The sequence below is a fragment of the Homo sapiens genome, chromosome 10 (assembly GCF_000001405.40).
Source record: "Homo sapiens chromosome 10, GRCh38.p14 Primary Assembly".
Classification (NCBI taxonomy): domain Eukaryota; kingdom Metazoa; phylum Chordata; class Mammalia; order Primates; family Hominidae; genus Homo; species Homo sapiens.
Genome location: NC_000010.11, coordinates 23,250,548 through 23,270,796, shown reverse-complemented (window position 1 = coordinate 23,270,796; position 20,249 = coordinate 23,250,548). Strand labels below are relative to the sequence as shown.

The 20,249-nt window shown below is 39.6% G+C and overlaps 1 protein-coding gene across 9 annotated transcripts in view; it reads left to right on the top strand.

Annotated features, from left to right (window-relative positions):
- The window catches only part of C10orf67 (chromosome 10 open reading frame 67), a 142,882-nt gene that overhangs the window by 74,001 nt on the left and 48,632 nt on the right, over positions 1 to 20,249 (top strand). For 6 of the 9 annotated variants that reach the window (XM_017016031.2, NM_001365862.2, XM_047424968.1 and 3 more), the window contains 3 exons: positions 3,543 to 3,602; positions 4,371 to 4,535; positions 20,106 to 20,185. In XM_017016031.2, coding sequence (XP_016871520.1) covers positions 3,543 to 3,602; positions 4,371 to 4,535; positions 20,106 to 20,185 — 305 coding nt within the window. The other 3 variants (XM_011519440.2, XM_011519441.2, XM_011519442.3) reach the window with 3 other exon arrangements.

The following is a 20,249-nucleotide window of genomic DNA, read 5'->3' as shown; positions in this document are numbered from 1 at the left end:
TTGTGGGAGACTCCTCCTCATGTGAACCACCTGGACTCCCTAGAACTGGTGGGCTAGAACAGCTGAGTCAACCAAACTGTAGAGATGGCAGCCGCCTCTCCCCCTGGGAATTTGGTCCATCTCAGGCCGTCTCCAGCCTGTTGCTGCTGTCTGTCTGGAATTCCAAGCCAGTGGGTCTTAACCTGTAAGGCACCATGGAAGTGGGGCCTGCAGAACAAAGCTGCTTGGCTACCTGGATTCAGTCCCCTTCCCCGGGGAAGGTACAGACAGATCTGCCACCTTGCCAGGATTCCCAGGACCAGAGTATGTAAAACTGCTGGATCTCCATGTATGCCTGAGCAGCTAGTCTGCCAAGACTCCACACACCTCTGTGTATCAGACCCAGGGCCCTGGTGGTATGGGCTCATGAGGGGATCTCCTGATCCACAGGTTGCAAAGATCTATGGGAGAAGCATGGTTTCCCAGGGGAGGTCACACAATCACTCACCACTTCCCTTGGCTGGGGGCAGGGGTTTCTTTGGCTCTGTGCCACTTCTGGGTGGACCATCACCCCACCCTGCTTTTCTTCATTCTCTGTGGGTCAGGTTGTCTGCCTAGTTGGTCCCAGTGTGAGAATCTGGATATTTCAGTTGAAGGTGCTGAATTCAGTCGCCATTTTTATTCTTCTGCATGACAGCCATGGACCACAGCTGCTTCTAATTGGCTCTTGGCCCCTCCCCCAGTATATAGTCTTTCATGGGACAGTATTACATATACTTGAAAATGATGTGTTTTCTGCCATTGTTGGGTGTTATAAATTAGATTGAGAGTGATAGTGTTATTCAGGGCATCTATATGTATTTAATTTTTTTGTTTCTATCAATTTCTGAGACAGGAGTGTTATTTATTAATTCTCATAATTTTGCCAATTTTGCTTTGCATATTTTTTAGCTCTGTTATTAGGCACATACACGTTTGTGATCGTTATGCCCTCCCAATGAACTGATCTTTTTATCATTATATGTCTTTCTTTAGCTCTAGCATTTCTTCCATCCTGAAGTCTACTATACTAGATATAAATGCATTTTCTCCAGCCTTCTTATGTTTGTGTTGCATTCCTTTTTCAATGCACTTATTTTTAAATTCTCAGTATATTTATATTTAAGTGCTTCTCTTGTAGACAGTAAATAGTTGAGCTTGCTTTTTGAATACATCCTAGCCATTTCTGCATTTTAACTAGATTGTTTAATTCATCATTCACTGTTACTATTAATAGGGTCAGATTAAGGTCTACTATTTCGTTATTTATTTTCTATATGTCTTCTCTTGGTTTTGTTGTTGTCATTCCTCTGTTCCTTCTTTTTTGCCTACTTTTAATATTTTAGAATTCCATTGCAAATTATCTATTACCATTTGGCTCTATCTTATAGCAGGCGCTCTAGTGATTGTAATTTACATTCTTAACTTTTGACAGTCCACTTGGAGTTAGTGTTGGACAATTTCATGTAAAGTATAGAAACTTTGCAAACATATATGTTTATTTATATATCTATTTATTTCTTCATTCATCATGTTACAGTTGTCATATGTTTTATATTTATACCAGTGTCATAATTCTTGCTTTAAACAACCCTATGTGTTTGAAAGAAATTAAGACAAAATAGTCATATATTTTCTGATGCTCTTCAGTCCTTTCTAAAGATCACAGGTTCTATCTGAGGGATGATTTATTACATTTTCTAGAAATTTCTTATAGTAGTATGAAGAAAATGATTTTTAAACCATTACAACAAAGGTTAACTATAATACAGCCATGTGTTGCATAATGACATTTTGGTCAACAACAGACTAAATACACGATGGTAGTCCAATAAGATTATGATACCATGTTTCTACTGTAACTTTTCTATGTTTGAATATGTTTAGATACACAAATACATATCATTGTGTTATAGTTGCCTACAATATTCAGTACAGTAACATGCTGTTCAGGTTTGTGGCCTAGGAACAATAGGCTATGCCGTAAAGTCTAGGCGTGTAGTGGGCTGTGCAACCTATATTTCTGTAAGTACACTCTAATGTATGCACATGATAAAATTGCCTAATGACACATTTCTCAGAATGTATCCCCATTGTTAAGCCATTCATGACTGTATTAGGCTTGAGTTCAAACCCATTGAAACCAACTAAGTATAGCCTTTCGTGGGCATCAGTAACTATCCTCTCAGACTGCAAGATGTCATTAGACAGCCCTGCTTGCTCTTGAGTTCTGCTTTATTGGTAGGTGAGAGAAAATTTTACAAATCCATTGTAGTTGTTGTTCAGATGCCAATGAGATTAATGGTTAGATGTGTTTCTCATCATTTTTAAATTTCAAGTAGGATTATTTATAATTAGAATCACTGGCATTACTCATAAATTCATATTATGAAAAAATCTTAATATTATGGAAACATGCACTAATAATACATTTTTTGATACAGTACCTTTTATACCTAGAAATTAAAATTGATTTTTTTTCTGAAGTCAGGGTCTCACTCTGTTGCCTAGGTTGGAGTGCAGTGGCACAATCACAGCTCACTGTAACCTCAAACTCCTGGACTCAAGCGATTCTCCTGCTTCAGCTACCTGAGTAGCTGGGACTATAGGTACACACCACCACACCTGGGTAATTTTTATTTTTTTATTTTTTATAGAGACAGAGGTCTTGCTATGTTGCTCAGGCTGGTCTTGAACTCCTGGCTTCAAGCAATCCTCCTGCTTCAGCCTCCCAAAGTGTTGGGATTACAGGCATAAGCCACTGCACCCAGCTTTGAAATTGATTTTTAAAGTAAAATTTCATTCATTACGTTATTGAAGTTCAACAATTAAATTATCTTAAATTTCTCAAACTATCTTTTTTTTTTTCTTTTTTTTGAGACTGAGTTTCACTCTTGTTGCCCAGGCTGGAGTGCAATGGCACTATCTTGGCTCACTGCAACCTCTGCCTCCTGGGTAGATTCTCCTGCCTCAGCCTCCCAAGTAGCTGGAATTACAGGCGCCCACCACCACGCCCGGAAAATTTTTTGTATTTTCAGTAGAGATGGGGTTTCACCATGTTGGCCAGGCTGGTCTTGAACTCCTGACCTCAGGTGATACACCTGCCTCAGCCTCCCAAAGTGGGATTACAGGTGTGAGCCACCGTGCCCGGCCTTCTCAAGCTATCTTATATTAAGAATAAGGCCTAGTATTTATAGCTGTTATACTAATGTATCAAATTATCACCTCATAAGCAAATAATGCATGTTTTCCTATGATCTTTGTTGTACTTAATGCAATGAATAAAGGCTAATGACTTTAGATTTTTGCAATGTTATATATTCCTGTTCACTTTTTTAATAAAAGTTCTTTTTCTGGATACAAGTTTGTTTTTTCTTTGATACTATAACTTTTATCCCATAATCGTTTTGGGAGACAAATGGTTTAAAACGTTACTCTTTCATTGCTTATAGAAGTTTTATAGAAAATTGTCTTTTTTAATCTTTGCAGATAATAACCAATGATATGGGTCTTCAATTTTACAGATTAATAAACAGAAAGAGGACAAGGAAATGAGAAAAAAGTATGGCAGCTTAAGTGTAAAGGTTTGTATTTAAGTTTTTTCTCTCTCTCTTTCTCTTTTATTTTGTGCTTCTCTGATTTTGGTATCTGAATTGACAAATCTGTGTAGCATACTGAGGTTTTTCACTTTCCAACCTGAGTTTGAAAAAGAAAGTTCTTGAAAGTGAGAGCAAGGCCAGGAGCAGTGGCTCATGCCTATAATCCTAGTACTTTAGGAGGCCGAGGCAGGAGGATTGCTTGAGTCCAGGAGTTCAAGACCAGCCTGCGCAACACAGTGAGACTCTATCTCTTTAAAAATAAATAAATAAATAAAGTGGGGCAAGAAGTGTGAATGGGAGATCAGGAGCTGATTGTTGAGAACAGGGAGCAGAGAGTGAAATCGAAAGCCAAAAAGCCAGCTAGCGGGGCATCAGGAGGAGTGCATCCTGATATCCTCATCCTTCCTACTATTTCCCTACCTTCTTCCTACCTAGATACAAGCCTCGAGCTGCCACCCACCCCCCTCCACATAGACCCCACCATTCCAGGGGCTTCCAAAGAGCATGGATCTGTTGGTGTGTTCTTAGGACATGAGGATTAAAGGGGGAGAGTGGAGAAATAAGCCCAGCCTGCCAATCAAATCCTGCCAGGGGAGATTGTGGGCCTGGGAGCAAGAACAAATCCATGCGCTCTAGGACTGAAAACCTCAGTTCTGCAATTCCAGCTCAGGGGAGGGGAAGAGTGTGAAAGAAAGGGACACAAATCCAAGAAACAAAATGAGAATAACAAAGTTGTGTCTTTTTGTGTGGCAGGTTGCAAGATCAGCCAAGGGGAGAGAAGCCTCTTTGTCCCCATGGCCCAAGTCTCCACCCAGCACCACAGCTTTGAGGCCACATTCTGCGACCATGAGTGTATCATCTGCTGGGGCCCAGAAAGCTAAAATGCCAAAGAAGGCTTTAAAGGAAGACCAAGCTGTGGTAAGAACTGCTTCCATGACCACACCCTGTCCACCTTCCTCTGCACAGGGACTCCTGTCTCTTTAGCCCTATCCATGAGGCCTGCAGTCTAAGCACACCGGGTTCTCACCCCCTGAGTGGGGGGCTCCAGCTGCCTATTTCTAAACCAACATGTCAGGGTGAGCCTCCTTTACTTTTCCAAGATGAAGTCATCAGTATGCCCAGCCAGGCAGTTGATTTAGCTAAGTCACTAAGCACCAGTGGGTCTCTATTTAATTACCAAAATAGAGAAGCTACATCCCAAGCACTTTCTAGGATATGCAGTCTCAAACTCATTACTGCCCAGTGTCATCAGAAGATTCCGGGAAGGACACACAGGTAGCCAGTCCATTTGCTCATGCAGGATTCCTCAACCTACAACTGGATGAAATCACACTCTCAGAGACATGCATGAACTCTATGCTGCTGCTCTCCTTTTCTACCTTTCCCCAGATCATCACAACTGTTTCTGCAGGAGCTAGGGTGGCAGCCTTGGTCTACATAAAGAGGTGCTAAGAAGTAGCTCTGAGACACTCAGCTCACTGTGGGCTAATTGTGTGTATATTTATGAGGCACTGCTCACTACATTATACAATACCTCCCATCATTATGAGCCTGTATCTCTACAGCCTTCTGCTCTTAGCTATAAAGATAGTTGTATTTCTACAACTCTTAGTTGTTCTGTGGACACTGTGAATTGTGTAAGTAGTCAAGGCTCCTTTTAGAAGGCATAGAACCCAATTGGTGACACATATGGCCAATGTCGTGCTTCACACAGAGTCTCTCCACTGCATATTTTGCTCTCTCAAACTCTGTCCTGTTCCTACGTGTTCCCACATTCTTCCTTCTTCTCCTACACAGGGCAGAATTTGCACTTCTCTCACTTAGAGCATGGAGGAGTGGAACAGAATTGTGCACACCGTGTGCATCCTTGCTCCAAAAAGGGGGAAGGCAAGGTGCAGACCTCTCGTGCCCACTCTCCAGGAGATGGACCACTCCTCATATCCACAGAGCGGGAGGGAGCAAGTAGAGCAAGGCCAGGCTTGTTGCGCTACTGGAAGTCACTCTACTGGGAAGAGAAAAAGCATTCTCCTCTGTGAGCATTTCCACTTCGCAGAGAGCTAGGAAGTGTAGACAACTGGAAATCAGTATAATTTCCCAAGGGAAAAAACTGACACTGGAAGAGGGTAAATTTTGCATAGAAATGACCAGTGACTACGTTCTAGAAGTAAGATTTTTATAACCCAGATTTTGGGAAGTATTTTTTTGGACCACATATAAAAAGAACTGGCCTGCTGTGCAATGCTGCATGCTGACCTGGTTGGGGAGACCAGCCATGCTGGGTGAGGGGCCCAAGGCTGGGTCAGCTGCCATGAAATCAGTCATGTGTCAGGGGTCTGTGGTCTGAGGCTCTGAGATGATGGCTGGGAGGACTACAGAGCCCGGTCAGCCACTGGGGCAGAGCAGCTGAGCCTCTTGTCCTGAGGTCACAGCAGCAGGGGGCAGCTGTAGCAGAAGGTGCCCCGGTCCCCACAGCAACCCCAAGGCTGGAACTAAATCCTAGAATTCCAGCTTGGAAGCTCCGGTGTCCCCAGTTTACAGATAGAAGCTGAGCTTCCAAAGTCACAGCCACAAGGGGCAGAGATATTCCCTGTTGTTCCCCACCGAAAATGCAAAATAAAGGACAAAGACTGACAAATCTCTGAGAAGGTGTCATTTCAACAGGCTTTTCTCTTTGTGTGACAATCTTTCCCTGTGACTCTAATGATTGTGGCCTGGGTATCTCCAAACAGTACATTTTGTCAGCTGAGGGAGTCTCTGAAGTTAATATATAACAATAAGTCAAAATTGGACCGGGGGAGGGGAGAGATTACTTAAACTGGGTTTACATATTTCTATGAATTGGCTCAATTTTAAAATGAAGTATGTTTTTCTAGTTCACTGTTATTACCGTCACTTACACTTTGTTAAGTGTAATATCCTATTGTTCTAAGCGCTCCCTTCTATCCCCTTCCACTGTGGTTTATTCTTTACCGTATATATACACATTCTAGCTATAATTTTCCCGCTCCTCTCTTTTAAATATTTAACTCCATGGAGGTAGCTGGACCTCTTAAAAATTGTCTTTAAAGGGTTTTATAACGTTTACCACGTGTAAATGACCACATGGAGGGCTTGTTACAGGAACTTTGTACATCAGTCATTTAACGTATCTAATTAATCATACTTATTTTTTTGAAATCTGTGTCATTCGGTGGGAACAGCACATGTGCTACCCACAACGGAGCACACAGTGATAAACTGAGTGTTTAGCCAGTCTGAAAAATACGATATGAACATTAGCTGTCTGATTTCTATTAATGAACGATTTCACAACATAAAATTTGTATTTGTACAGTGCTTTTATGTAAAGTTTGTTTTTTGATATGTGCAAAACATTTCAAACACTCAAGTTTCATATATCAAGGTTAAAATGGATTCTCAGGTTTTCCTCTCCCGACCCTGAGTAATTAGTTAATTATGGTTGCACCCAATACATGCTTCCATGGAGGACTTCTGAGCTTCCATGGGGTAACCTGGTCTATACTGATGAACATATGGTGCATGCTTTGATCTGCAGAAAGAATCAGGGCCCTTCTGTGTGGGAAATGGGACATAGGAGAAAATCAGTCATGTTCCCATTCTTAGAGTTTTCTCAATACAAAGCAATTTGTACAGATAAAAGACTTCAATAAAAACTCTAGAACTTCTTTTTTTAAACATTCAAGAAGTGTTAGATAAAATAGTATTGCAACTATTTCGCAGTTATGACCATAGTCACCTTGCAAGCTAGTGATTTAAAAAAAAATTGTTATTATGGGATATAGAATTATTACTATAGGTATATAATATTATAGGCTAGATGGTTGAAGAAAAGATCTTTTCTTCTGAAATTTACTATTTTTCTCCTAGATGCAACTCTTACTTGGTTAAATTGCACATTTAAGATAAGCTCTATGAGAGAAGAAAACAATATAATCTGCTTACTGTTTCATTATTCCATTCTTTTTTCCCTTGGCTTGGCTTGATACAGCAGGCAGTTAAGAGAGCTGCAGAGCAGTTTGGGAAAACCAGCACTTTACCTGTTGTTTATCCGGCAGCGCTAGGCAATGTAGTAATACAGAGATAGGACAATCCTTTACATGTGCATGGTCTTCAGAGGTTGTCAAAGGATATTTACTATATTTTGATGGATTATGATGACACAAAATAATTTTCCTTATCATACTTGATCTTTGTCTTATAATATGGATAACCCTAAAATGTACAGATAAAATGTCAAAATCATTGAAAATCACATTTTTCATTTATCACTAAAATGAATTAATCTTTAGATTCTGCTCTCAGAGAGCAAAATTGAAAATGTGAGTAATATATTTAAAATCCAGCTGAAAGGTGGCTTTTGTCTTCTGCCTTATTTTATGCTGGGTAGTTTGATAATAAATTAAATAAATACCTTTGGTATATTTGGAACAGAAAATATTCTAGTGAAAATAGCGTTTAATATTTGTGGGATACATGAAAAGATGTTGTCAAAAACCAACTGAAAAGGGGGTTTGTGCTTGTGCTCTTATTGATTTTGTTGGGAAACAATTATAACATTTTATTTGTGGAGCTCACTAGGTTTGAGCGTAATGTAAACTGAGGACTGAAGATTTTGCTGTGAAATCAGGAATAGATAAATTCAAGGTATGGATAATGTCCTTATTCTTCCCAAAGCACTGTCAGCCATTGGGACAGATGTGAGGTCCTGACCACAGATGATAGCGACTTGGTGGTAGCAGAAATGTCATCCCTGACATTCAGGAGCCCACAGACAGCGAGGTGACCCTCTCCCCCCACCCCCCTCCCCTAACATGGTGTTGCTTGATTCCATTTGCTGGGGCTTCAGCTGTGGATTTCTCTCCAGTTCCCAGTGGGAGTCAAGGCTGGTCCTGAACACCAGGTCATTTGGCCAGACTCCTGACACTACCCAGACGTGGGTCTTTTCCCCGGAAGGCTGAGCATCTGACATGCTGTCACTCATCCTGACTGCCATCGTCACATCTGCCAGTGCTGCTGCCTGGTGTATTACATCGCTGCTCACCAGAGTCAAGCCGGAGGTGGCTGCACCCCTCTAGATGCTGGCAGTGGACTGTTGACCACTGTCTTTGGATTTAGCCTGGCCAAACTTGTCAGTTTCTCCAATCCTAGTCTCTCCAGATCCCAACTTTCTCCTCAAACCCTGGGAATAAGTCTATGTGAGTTATAACACATCAATTTTGTTTTCTTTAGGAACTTATTTTCATGAAGGATGGTTATTAAACCTTTTTTCATTTAACACTCTCTTAACTTTCTTTTCCTCAGTGGAATCTCTGCTTGTTCATCATGAAAATTGATCCTATTAAAATTCTTTGTTTCCTCTTATTGATTCATCTATTACTATTTTCTTCCCATTTGCATATCTGAACAATCTTAGATAACCAGTGACATCTCACCAGGTTGATATATTGCTCACCAAATCCAGAGTTCTTAAGTTGTGTTAGCTTATGCAGCTCAATTAGGGAATAAAGGTACACTTTTATTTTAGGCTTTAAAAAAATCTTTAAAACAGTCCAGGGGTGGCTGCTCACACCTGTAATTCCAACACTTTGAGAGGCGGAGGCAGGAGGATCACTTGAGGCTAGGAGTTTGAGACCAGCCTGGGCAACATAGTGAGACCCCACCTCTACAGATATTTTTTAAGTTAGCCAAGTGTGTTAGTGCGTGTCTGTGGTCCTAGCTACTCAGGAGGCTGAGGTGAGAGGATTGTTTGAGCCCAGGAGTCAAGGCTGCAGTGAGCTATGATCCCACCACTGCATTCCAGCCAGGACAATAAAGCTAGATCCTGTTTCAAAACAAAGAAATGTGTCTTAAAAACAGTTTGAGGATCTCCTCCAGCAATTTTAGTGTGGGAATCATTTCTTTGTTGCGTGTGTGTGTGTGTATGCAGGTATTGAGATACTGTATCTCAGCCCTTGTATTAACTAGACTCCCCAAATTTTCATGGCATTTTCTCTTCCAAATCTGTAAAAGAAAAAGAAGTTATCTACACCTAATACCATGAAGCACTGTAGAGTCCAGTTAATCCAATGGCTGAAAGTATACAGTGAACATTTATTTGAATTCATTCCCCCAGAAATGATGGTCACAGGCCTAAACAACCTCGAGTGTGATTCTGGTGGTCTGTCTCCCTAGTTGACAATTTGCAAGTCGAATTCAATTACAATTTATAAGATTTCTGTCTGGTTTACATTAAATAAAGCATAAGAATATTTGAAAGGTCTTTTTGTATTAAAATTGGAAAGATTTCAATATGAAGGTTTAGATTTTTATGCAACCACTGGAAAAGTTAGGAGAGCAAACATTAGGAAAGTAATATAAAAAAGATTTCAGACTGAAGCATCCAAACAGCTGATTGATAAGAGGTCAATAAGAAGCCACTGCAATCCATAGGAACCTCTGGTGGGAAATCTCCCACCAAATAGCTTAGTCTTCAGCAGTAAAGAGAGTGTTTCTTATGAGCTCCCAGGAAAGCCACTTAAAACTCATATCTGTCCATGAATCTTGCTCTAAATGCCTTTGGATAATCTTCTCCAATATTCCCATTAAAGGGACAGTTCTTTAGAGTTCCTAACATGTTATATGCTTCAAAAATTAAAGTTTAATATATTTTCATGTAACAGAAATTGATATACTTGTCACAGTAAGATTTGCATTTGACACTTTTATTTATGCCATTTCTAGAGCTTTCATTTCTTTGTGTAGATCTAGGTTTCTATCTGGTGTCATATACCCTCTTCCTTTTGGTCTGCCGGCAATGAATTCTCTTAGTTTTTGTTTGTGTCTGGAAAAAACCCTTTTTTTTGCCTTTATTTTTGATAGGTATTTTTCCGAAATATATTCTGAGTCTGCATTGACAGTTTTATTCTTTTAATACTTTGAAGATATGACTACACCCTCTTTCGGCTTGCATAGTTCCTGATAAGAAGTATGCTGTAAATTTTAACTTCGTTTCTCTGTTTGTAATGTCTTTTATTTTGGATTGACTTCAAGAGTTTCTCTTTCTCTTTGCTTTTCAACAGCTGGATAATAAAGTATCTTTGGTTGTTTCTTGTCCCCTCTCCTTCACCTCTTTATTTCTATTTATCTTGAACTTCTTGAATTTGTAGTTTGATATCTTTTATTAACTCCTAAACATTATCTACAATTATGTCTTTACCTTCGAATATGTCTGTGCTGGACTGTTTGATGTTGTTCCACAACTCTTACATGCTCAGCTCATTAAAGTTTGAACTACTTTTTTTCTTTGTTTCAGTTTGGAGAGTTGTCTTTTTTTTAACCTAACTTCAAATTCACTGATTACTTTTTTCAGTTATATTGAGTCTATTGATGAGCCCATCCAACAAATTATTCATCTTGATTGTTGCTTGGTTTATTTCTAGTATTTCCATTTGATTCTTTTTTACATTTTCCACCTCTCTGATGAAATTCCCTGTCTATTGTTTATCATGCATAGTGTTCACCTTTTCTCCTAGGTTCTCTAATATTTTGATTATAGTTCTTTCAAAGTCTTTCAAAGTCATAGTTCCAAAATATGGGTCATCTTTGAGTCTGGTTCTGTTTATTGCTTTGTCTCCCAACGATAGATTTTTTTTCCTGGACTTTTTGTCTGTCTTTTGTTTGGTTTTGTTTTGACATTTTAATTTACTTTGAATATAAGTCACTTTTTGCAAGCTAGGAAATAGAATCAACCTAACTCAATCTAGTCTTCTAGGGATCCAGGCTGAGTCTTGCAATCTTTAGCAGAATGCCATCATAATACTAGGTACTAGCACTAGGGTTATCAACTCTAAATAAGAACCACTTCTCTGCATTTTTCATTAGGAAACAGCCAAAAGTCTGATCCTTAAAGGCATGATATACAGAATAGCTTGATATACGAAGGACAGAATGACCCAAATTGTATGCTGCCCAGTCTATTGGTGAACCAAATTAGAGCTCACTAAAGATTGGTAAACAGAGAAAGTGTTTACATTTTGAAAACTTGCTCTGTAGTTTGAAAAATTCCTGGATGCTGTTGATAAAAAAGCAAGTAAAAAATATTACAGATGGACTCTCACTGACATTTGATTTTACCATCGTTTTCCACTAGAACATGAAGGTAGAAATAAGTGTAGGAGATAAGATACTTAGATATTTTAAAAATAAGTTACCTAGTAATTTTAAAAAGACATACTGTATTCTTTCATTTGCTACAAGAAGAAATTGACAATGAAGACTATTTAACAGAAGTGTTGAACTCTAAATAGGATGGTGAAGGCAACACATTCCATTACAGAATAAGTTCCCATTTTTCCAGACAATGAACATTGCTATTCCTCCATGTTCCATATTCCTGGGGGAAAACCTTGTCAGCAGCTTTTTGTCAGGGCCAGGAGATGAAAAATAGACCATGTCCGAATGATCTCATTGTAAGCTCAGTTAACATCTTTGGAATAGACCCATAAAATCTGGCCAATGTTTTATTAAACATCTGCAAACTGCAGAATTCTTCAGCCCTTAGACATAGTTTCTGCTCAGAATCTTAAAGCCAGGTACAGTTCCACTGTGACTCTTCTCAGGGCTGAGGTGGTGCTAGTCGTCAAAGTCTGGAAGGCCATGGTAGGAGTAACCCTGGTAGCTTTTGGATGCATTCGGCAGGAACACCAAATTGCCAGTGATCAGAACTGGAACAACCTAGTCTGTCCCCACTTTGCTGATGTAGCCCAACAGCAGGAGGGAGCCTATGATAATAGAAAGGTGCCAATCAGAAACAGCACAGTGGTGACTGCAATGGCCTTCTAAGGCATCTTAGGAAGGCCTTTTTTAAACCTTAGGAGGTGAGTGTAGCCACTGTCTGTGCTGGAGAGCCTTGAGTATTTTGCTTTGCTACTAGGGATTCCAGTAGCCAGATTGGTGTGGGATGGCATCATCACACGCTGACACAGCTATAGTTGGAGCACCATGCCAGGCCACCAGTGCACCAAGAGCTCGCCCATGGTTGGCAATGGGGATGCCAGAGGCCACATGGTAAAACCACCTAACGTGGCTGGCACCATCCAGCCTGTTCCAGCGAGCTGCCTCATATTTCTGATTGAATGCTGCACATCATGTGTAGAATAGTAGAGATTGAAATAAATTGTATTCACACATTGAAATAACCTGTCTCTTATGAGACTATACATACACACACCCATACACATATGTGTGTATACATATATGTGTGGGGGGGATGTGTATGACTACTGTGACAGGTTGGGCCAATCTAACCAAAGTTGAGTTGAGTTTGCTTGTTGCTATGGTTACCTCTACTAGACCACAGTCTTTTATTTAAAAAAAAAAAAACAGAGTCTGACTCTGTCACCCAGGTTGGAGTGCAGTGCTGTGATCTCAGCTCACTGAAACGTCTGTCTCCTGGGTTCAGGCCATCCTCCCACCTCAGCCTCCCAAGCAGCTGAGACTACAGGCACATGCCACTATGCCCAGCTAACTTTTGTATTTTTTATAGAGATAGAATTTTGCCATATTGCCCAGGCTGTTCTCGAACTCCCGAGCTCAAGGGATTCTCCTGCCTTGGCCCCCCAAAGTGCTGGGATTACAGGTGTAAGCCACTGCACCAGGCAACAGTTTTGATATTCTTTTTGTGGTGGGTATGTGACTAGAGTGGGAGCTGGGGTCACAGAGTGCTTTTCTCTGACTACCACTCTACCCTCAGCTTATAGAACCTGTCCACCTGTGCCATAGAGAAGATCTGCCTCTATGCTCTTATCCATGCCTCAGTAGTGCACTGCTATTGCTTGGTGCTCCATGAGTGAAGGTAGAGAAGATTCTCTGTGGTTCTAATCCAAACTCAGACTTTCAGAAGTGTTGTGTGCTCAGGCCCCAGCGGTGGACTTTCTCAGCATTCTTGCCCCTCTTCCCTGGGGCAGTTCACTCGCCTTGTATCTGAAGTTGGTCTTGGGCAGGAGTTTCCTGTCCTTCCTGCAATAGTAGGACACCTCCACTTGGTATTGGCATAGAGTTGAAGGTCCAAGACAATTACCATTCCCTTCTCCCAGGGGAGCAACCTGTTTCTTTTGTTTTTCCCATTGACATAATATATCTCCATTTTTGAGCTGTGAGCAAGAGACTCTGCTGCCCATCCCAGCAGTTGAAAACTTTTCCTTCTGAGAAAGGAGTGGCCTGGGAGAAATAAATGGGATTTGATACCTAACACTTCTTCACAGCATCAACCACTGATCACCTTCTTTGAGCCTGGTTGGCCAGACAGTTTGCTTCCCCTCTCCCAGAGGCTTAAGACTTTCACATGCTAGGATAGAATGACCCAAGGAAGGTGATTTTCCTGTAGTAGCTGCTGATCCCCTCCTCAAGTCTGCACCATCAACAGAGACTCCTTTCAAAATTGCTCTGCCCTCAATTTTTCTCATGAGTATCTGGTAAGGGACAGGAAAAAAAAAAAAACTTGTGAGTGAGTGCAAGCTCCACTTTTAACATGTGTCCCCAGCTACTTCAGACTGCCCCGCTCACCAACATTTGATCTTCAGAAGTTCTTTATATTTTAGCTTATTCTTCTTACAAGCTTGTGTTGAAGCTGGCATGGTGCTTCTTCAGCTGTAGACGAGACCTATGAACTGTTCATGGCTCTCATCTCTCCTCTGAGGGCATTGTTCCTCTTTGGAATTTAGGTTACCTGGGTGTAACCCCAGCTCTCTAATGGGTTCAAGAGAAGTTGTGATTTTGTAGTTTATCTAGATTTTTCTTGTTTTTAGTGTTGGAATGGCATTTTTTGCTTCCTAAGCGGGAGCCAGGAGTCTCAATTTTTTAAATAAAATGGATACAGGGCCAGACATAGAAGCTCATGCCTGTAATATTCCAGCACTTTGGAAGGCCCAAGCAGGAGGATTGCTTGAGCCCAGGAGTTCAAGACCAGCCTGGGGAACATAGCAAGACTTCTTCTCTAAAAAAAATACGAAAATTAGCCAGGCATGGTGGTGCACAGCTGTAGTTCCAGTTACTTGGGAGGTGGAGGTGGGAGGATCACTTGAGCTGGGAAGGTGGAGGCTGCAGTGAGCCAAGATCATGCCACTGCACTCCAGCCTGAGCCATGGAGCAAACTGTCTTGAAGAAAAAAACTCACAAAACTGATAACATACTTATTATACAAAATTTGCTCAATGAGGAAATGCCAAAAGAAGAAAATTTTTAAGAAAATCCTGCCACCCAAAGATGATCACTGAAAACCTCTCATTACCACCCTTCCAGACAAGTCTTGATGCAGATTTTTATGTCAACAGGATGTGGATAACATCATTCCATACCGTTGAATTTAGATAATCCATTATATGTGCTGTATGTATTTCGCCCCACAGAAGTAGCACAATTTACATAACCAATTCGTGTCAATTTACCAGTGCCTTCCTGAGATATTATTTCTTTTTTTTTTCGGTTATAAACAATGGCTTCATCATATTTAATAGATACATTCCTATCACTGAAGTGACCTTGTCACAAGTTTTTGGAGTGAATAGTTTAATAGATGTGTATTCTGCTTTTGCATAGATGACTTCCTACATGAACACATGAACACATGAACACAAGGTCTAGGATGTTCTAGAGCCAGGTGAGGAAGCCACACCCAGACAGACTTTTGTGGCCTTCTGAACCTTTGAGACATGCTTGAGAGTTGCATATAGCCTGGATCAGCCTAAATCCTGTATGGCTTCACAGCCCAGTCATTCTACCAAGATGCCTCCGAGCCCTTTGGCAAACATGGAATGGCACCTTTGGGGACATCAAATGAAGAAAGTCTTGTCCTGTTTTTGAAAGATTTGCCTACCTTAACAATTTTGTTAGAAGAAAATTCACAAGTGATATATGTAGATAAATGTTTTGTTTTGATTTTTGGCCCCCGTCATGACTACTGTTTCAGCACACAGCCTCATATTTTATTCTCCGTGTTCCCAATTCTCAGCCTCTTCTCTCCAAATTGTAGGTGCATGAGGTTGGTCCTTGTTTCGTGTGTTTCTATTAGCCCCTCCTCTCCCTGGCCACTTCCCACCCACTGGCACATTACTGGTGTTCAAAAGTAGTTATTTGCATGGCAGGTTAAAAAATGTTAATATGAAAGTCAAAGTGATTGAGGTTTTAAAGAGGAAAAATCATTCTTCATCATGATGAGTCAGAAAGACTACTTTAATGGTAATATAAATATATTCGACGATTTAAAGGGTATAGAGGTAAAAGGCAAAGTACCTTTCATTAAGCCCAGAGAAAATGACTAAAGTTTCATAAGAGAGATGTTTGTGGAAATTAAATGTACTGACTCTTGATAAGAAAAAGAAAACAGAGATGTGAGGGTATGATAAGGAATGTAGTTAATCTTACGGCAGTTAATAAACATAATTTGCTTCTTCTGTTATTACAAACCCTGGCTACTATTCTAATTTAGAATAGTATATTTGTTAAATTTTTAAAAATATGATATAAGTGCTTAAAAATGGGAAGCAAATTTAAGAATCATAACTTCCGTTATAAATGAACCTTTATTTCTTAATTTTGTGAATTTTTAATTATAAATGTATATACAAATTCAAAAGAGAATGAGAAATATTTATAATAAATTATTTTAAATCACAGCCAGTAGTGGTGGCTCATGCCTCTAATCCCAGCACTTTAGGAGGCCAAGGTGGGTGGATCACCTGAGATCAGGAGTTCAAGACCAGCGTGGCCAACGTGGTGAAACCCCGTCTCTACTAAAAGTACAAAAAAATTAGCCAGGGGTGGTGGCAGGCACCTGTAATCCCAGCTACTCGGGAAGTTGAGGCAGGAGAATTGCTTGAACCTGGGAGGCGGAGGTTGCAGTGAGCTGATATTGTGCCATTGCACTCCAGCCTGGGCAACAAGAGTGAAACTCTGTCTCAAAAAAAACACACATTTTGTTAAATTACAGTATGTTATTATCTTTACAATTATTTAATTTGTGTTTGTGTTTTCCTACTTAGGAAGTTAATTACTTTTATTTTAATATTAACACTCATTTTCACATCAATCTATTATCAGTCCAGTGTTTGCACCTGTCAATGAAGTGACCACATAAAGACCAGTGTGTGTATTCCAGAGAAAGTGGAATGTCAGCAGCTGGCAAAACAAAATGACAGTTTAATGTGGACAGAGCCAGGATTCAATAGACCATGTTGCAGCAAAGTTGAAAGTTCAACTCGAACTGGAGAGCAAACACTCTAGTCTACATGTGATGCTTTTTTTTCTCTTTTTTTAATGAAAAGAGACGTTATCTTCATCATCATAATAGTGTTGTCTTTTGAAGAGATTGAATAATTATTTGCTTTACAGAAGATAGATTTTAGAACAGACTTATCTCTAGTTATTACATAGTTGATCATTATATGAAAGCTGGAAAAAGGGAGCCTTAAAAATTGAAACTAATTTTTACTGTACATAAATTTAAACACAGTTTTTTTTTAAATAAGCATTCAATCACTGATGTAACTTTGGATATAGTGAAATAAGTATATTAATGTCTTTCTACGTGGAAAATTATTTTGTTCTACTGATTTGTTTTCCTAATTTTCTGGGGATTAATTTTTTTAATTTGGGTTAATTTTTTTTAGCATAATGGCAAGTGTTCTCCCTGACCCTGGGCCTGGGGCTCTTCCCCTGGTGATTTCCTTGGACTACTGTTAATCAAATGGCAGTGAACTCACTCTCTACCCCTTGTACCCTGGACAAAGAGGTGGTTCACGTGGATTGTGCCCTTTGAGAACAAATAGGTGGAGGGACTCCAAAAAGTGTCCATCTCATGTCACTTTGGTGACCCCCACTTTTTTGATGAATGGCCTTATCCAAATCTTCAGCTTCAACCCACGTACTGATGAATCCCAAATTATCTCTCTAGGATCAACCCCTCTCTCAAATTCCAGGCCCTGTCTCAGTTGCTATATTAGTCTCTTTTCACATCACTGATAAAGACATACCTGAGACTGGGAAGAAGGGGTTTAATGGACTTTCAGTTCCACATGGCTGGGGAGGCCTCACAATCATGGCAGAAGGCAAGGAGGAGCAAGTCACATCTTACATGGATGGCAGCAAGCAAAGAGAGAGCTTGTGCAGAGAAACTCCCATTTTTAAAACCATCAGATCTTGTGAGACCCATTCGCTATCTTGAGAACAACATGGGAAAGACCCGCCACCGTGATTCAATCATCTCCCACCAGGTCTCTCCCACAACACGTGGGAATTATGGGAGCTACAAGATGAGATTTGGGTGGGGACACAGAGCCAAACCATATCAGTTGCCTATTACATGTGTTCATTTAAACAGGCCATGGGTACCTGAGACTCAAAGTGTTTTGGTAAATCTGAATTCATCAAAAACAAACAAAACAAAACAAAACAAAAAAAGGCTAGCACACAAAATTGTTCCTATTCTTATTGTTTGTTCTTAGTGAATAGAATCATTCTCCATCTACTTGCCCAAATGAGAAATTTCAGGCAGCTCTGTCCTCACTCAAAAAGTCACCTAAATTTCACCTCTTTTGTAATTTCTCTCAAGTCTGCCTTCTCTACTTTAGCTCAATTTTGTTTTCTATTGTATCTCCAGTGCTTAAACAATTGTTGGCATATCATAAGCATTCAGCAAATATTTACGGAGTGAACAAAGAGAACAAGAAAAGCACTTGGCCCTGCCTGAAACAGTTAATTCAGGGAACAGACAAAAATTTAAAATATATTATTTCAGTAAAAAATATTTTGGGAGACATTCAACAGAAACTTTTTTCCATTAACAAGGACAGGCAGCTATGAAAAACGAACAGTCTGAACCAAAGAACAATTTATTAAAAGGAACAAATAAAACTTTGAAAAAAAGGCAATAGGCAGGCTGAATAATAAAATTGACAGAGCTTAAGACTTAATAATCTGGAAGATAAAGTGAAGAAAATTTCCTAGAACATAGTGCAAAATGGCAGACAGAAATAATGAAAAAAGTTAAAATATGGAGAACAGATCCAAGAGATCTAGCACCTTTCTAATAGGATTTTTTTGAAAGCAAAACAGATATAATGGAAGCAACACTATAATAAAATGCATTTTTTAAAAACTGGTATTATTAATAGGAAAATTGTTTTCAATGGGCTGCCATTGTCCAATTGCAAATTATATGTATAAATACTGAATTATCTAAATTATATAAGACAGTGAAGACGGCCAGAGGACTGTGGTTAGCATATTGTAAGTCTCAGTTCTCTTTCTCAAAGCTGCAGAAAATCCACATTGTTATGCATTAATTTGAAAATTTGTATTTACCTTGGTTTATTTTCTTGCCAGATAAGCTATGCAGCACCTATTGGGACACATGAAAAGAAAAAAAGATGAAAATATCAGGATCTAAGATATAATAATGACTAATATGACCATTATTACGAACCTAGTTATTGTTTATATTGATGCTGGCTATGCTTAGAAAGTAGCAATGACTCTGGAAGCTACACTGAGAATTAGCCTTATGAAGAGACAGAAGACCTGATTGCCTCTTTAGTATTATTCTGTAGCACATCTCTGCCACATCCACGGAAGTCTCTCTCATTCATGATATGCCTACAATTCAGCTATTAGAGATTCATTCATTTTGCTGAAACTTTGTCCTCTTGCAAAATATAAACATTATTGATAAATGGCATAAAGCTCTACTGTGATTCAGTTGGTAGATCCTTTCTTGAGAACTGTTTTGATAGAAGGAGGAAATGAGTAACTGGGGGAAGCTGCTGCCTATGACGAAGAGATGGAGAGACCACAGTAAGTGAAGGAAAACACAATTTACAATTTACAAAACACGATTTACAATTTACAAAAAGGGGCAGCTTAAGGGGCTGATGAAGATCAATTTTGGTTGCTTTGTAATATGGTTTAGAGCTAACTGCTTCTAAGTTCACCATTTACGGGAAATAGAGGCATGGGATCTTAAACCGTTCCTATGTATGGTAATTTACAAGTAAATATAACTCATTGTTCTCTCGAAAAAAAAATTTTTTTGAGACAGGGTCTCGTTCTGTCATCCAGGCTGGAGTGCAGTGACATGATCACAGCTCACTGCAGCTTCGACCTCCTGGGCTTATGTAATTCTCCCTTCTCAGCCTCCCAAGTAGCTGGGACTACAGGTGCATGCCACTATGCCTTGCTAATGTTTAATTTTTTGTAGAGACAAGGTCCCACTATATTGCCCAGACCGGTCTCAAACTCCTAGGCTTAAGCCATCCTCCCACTTTGGCTTCCCAAAATGTTGGGATTACAGGCGTGAGTCACCGTGCCCCGCCTCAAATTATGTTTGATAGTAGTTAGAGTATGCATACTATTTATAGAAATAGTCTTTTCAGATTTATGGAGAAACAAGATATATTGTTTGTGTAATTAACTTTGTGTTATATTTTCTATTGAAAGGTTGAAGACAAACATGGTTTGGAGTCTCAAATAGAAGCATTAAAGGCAAATTTAGAGAATGAGAAAAAGAAGGTGGAAAGGTACTGGTAATAGAGTAAAAGGCACTGGTAATGAGATATAATGTTCATTTGTAACTAATACAAT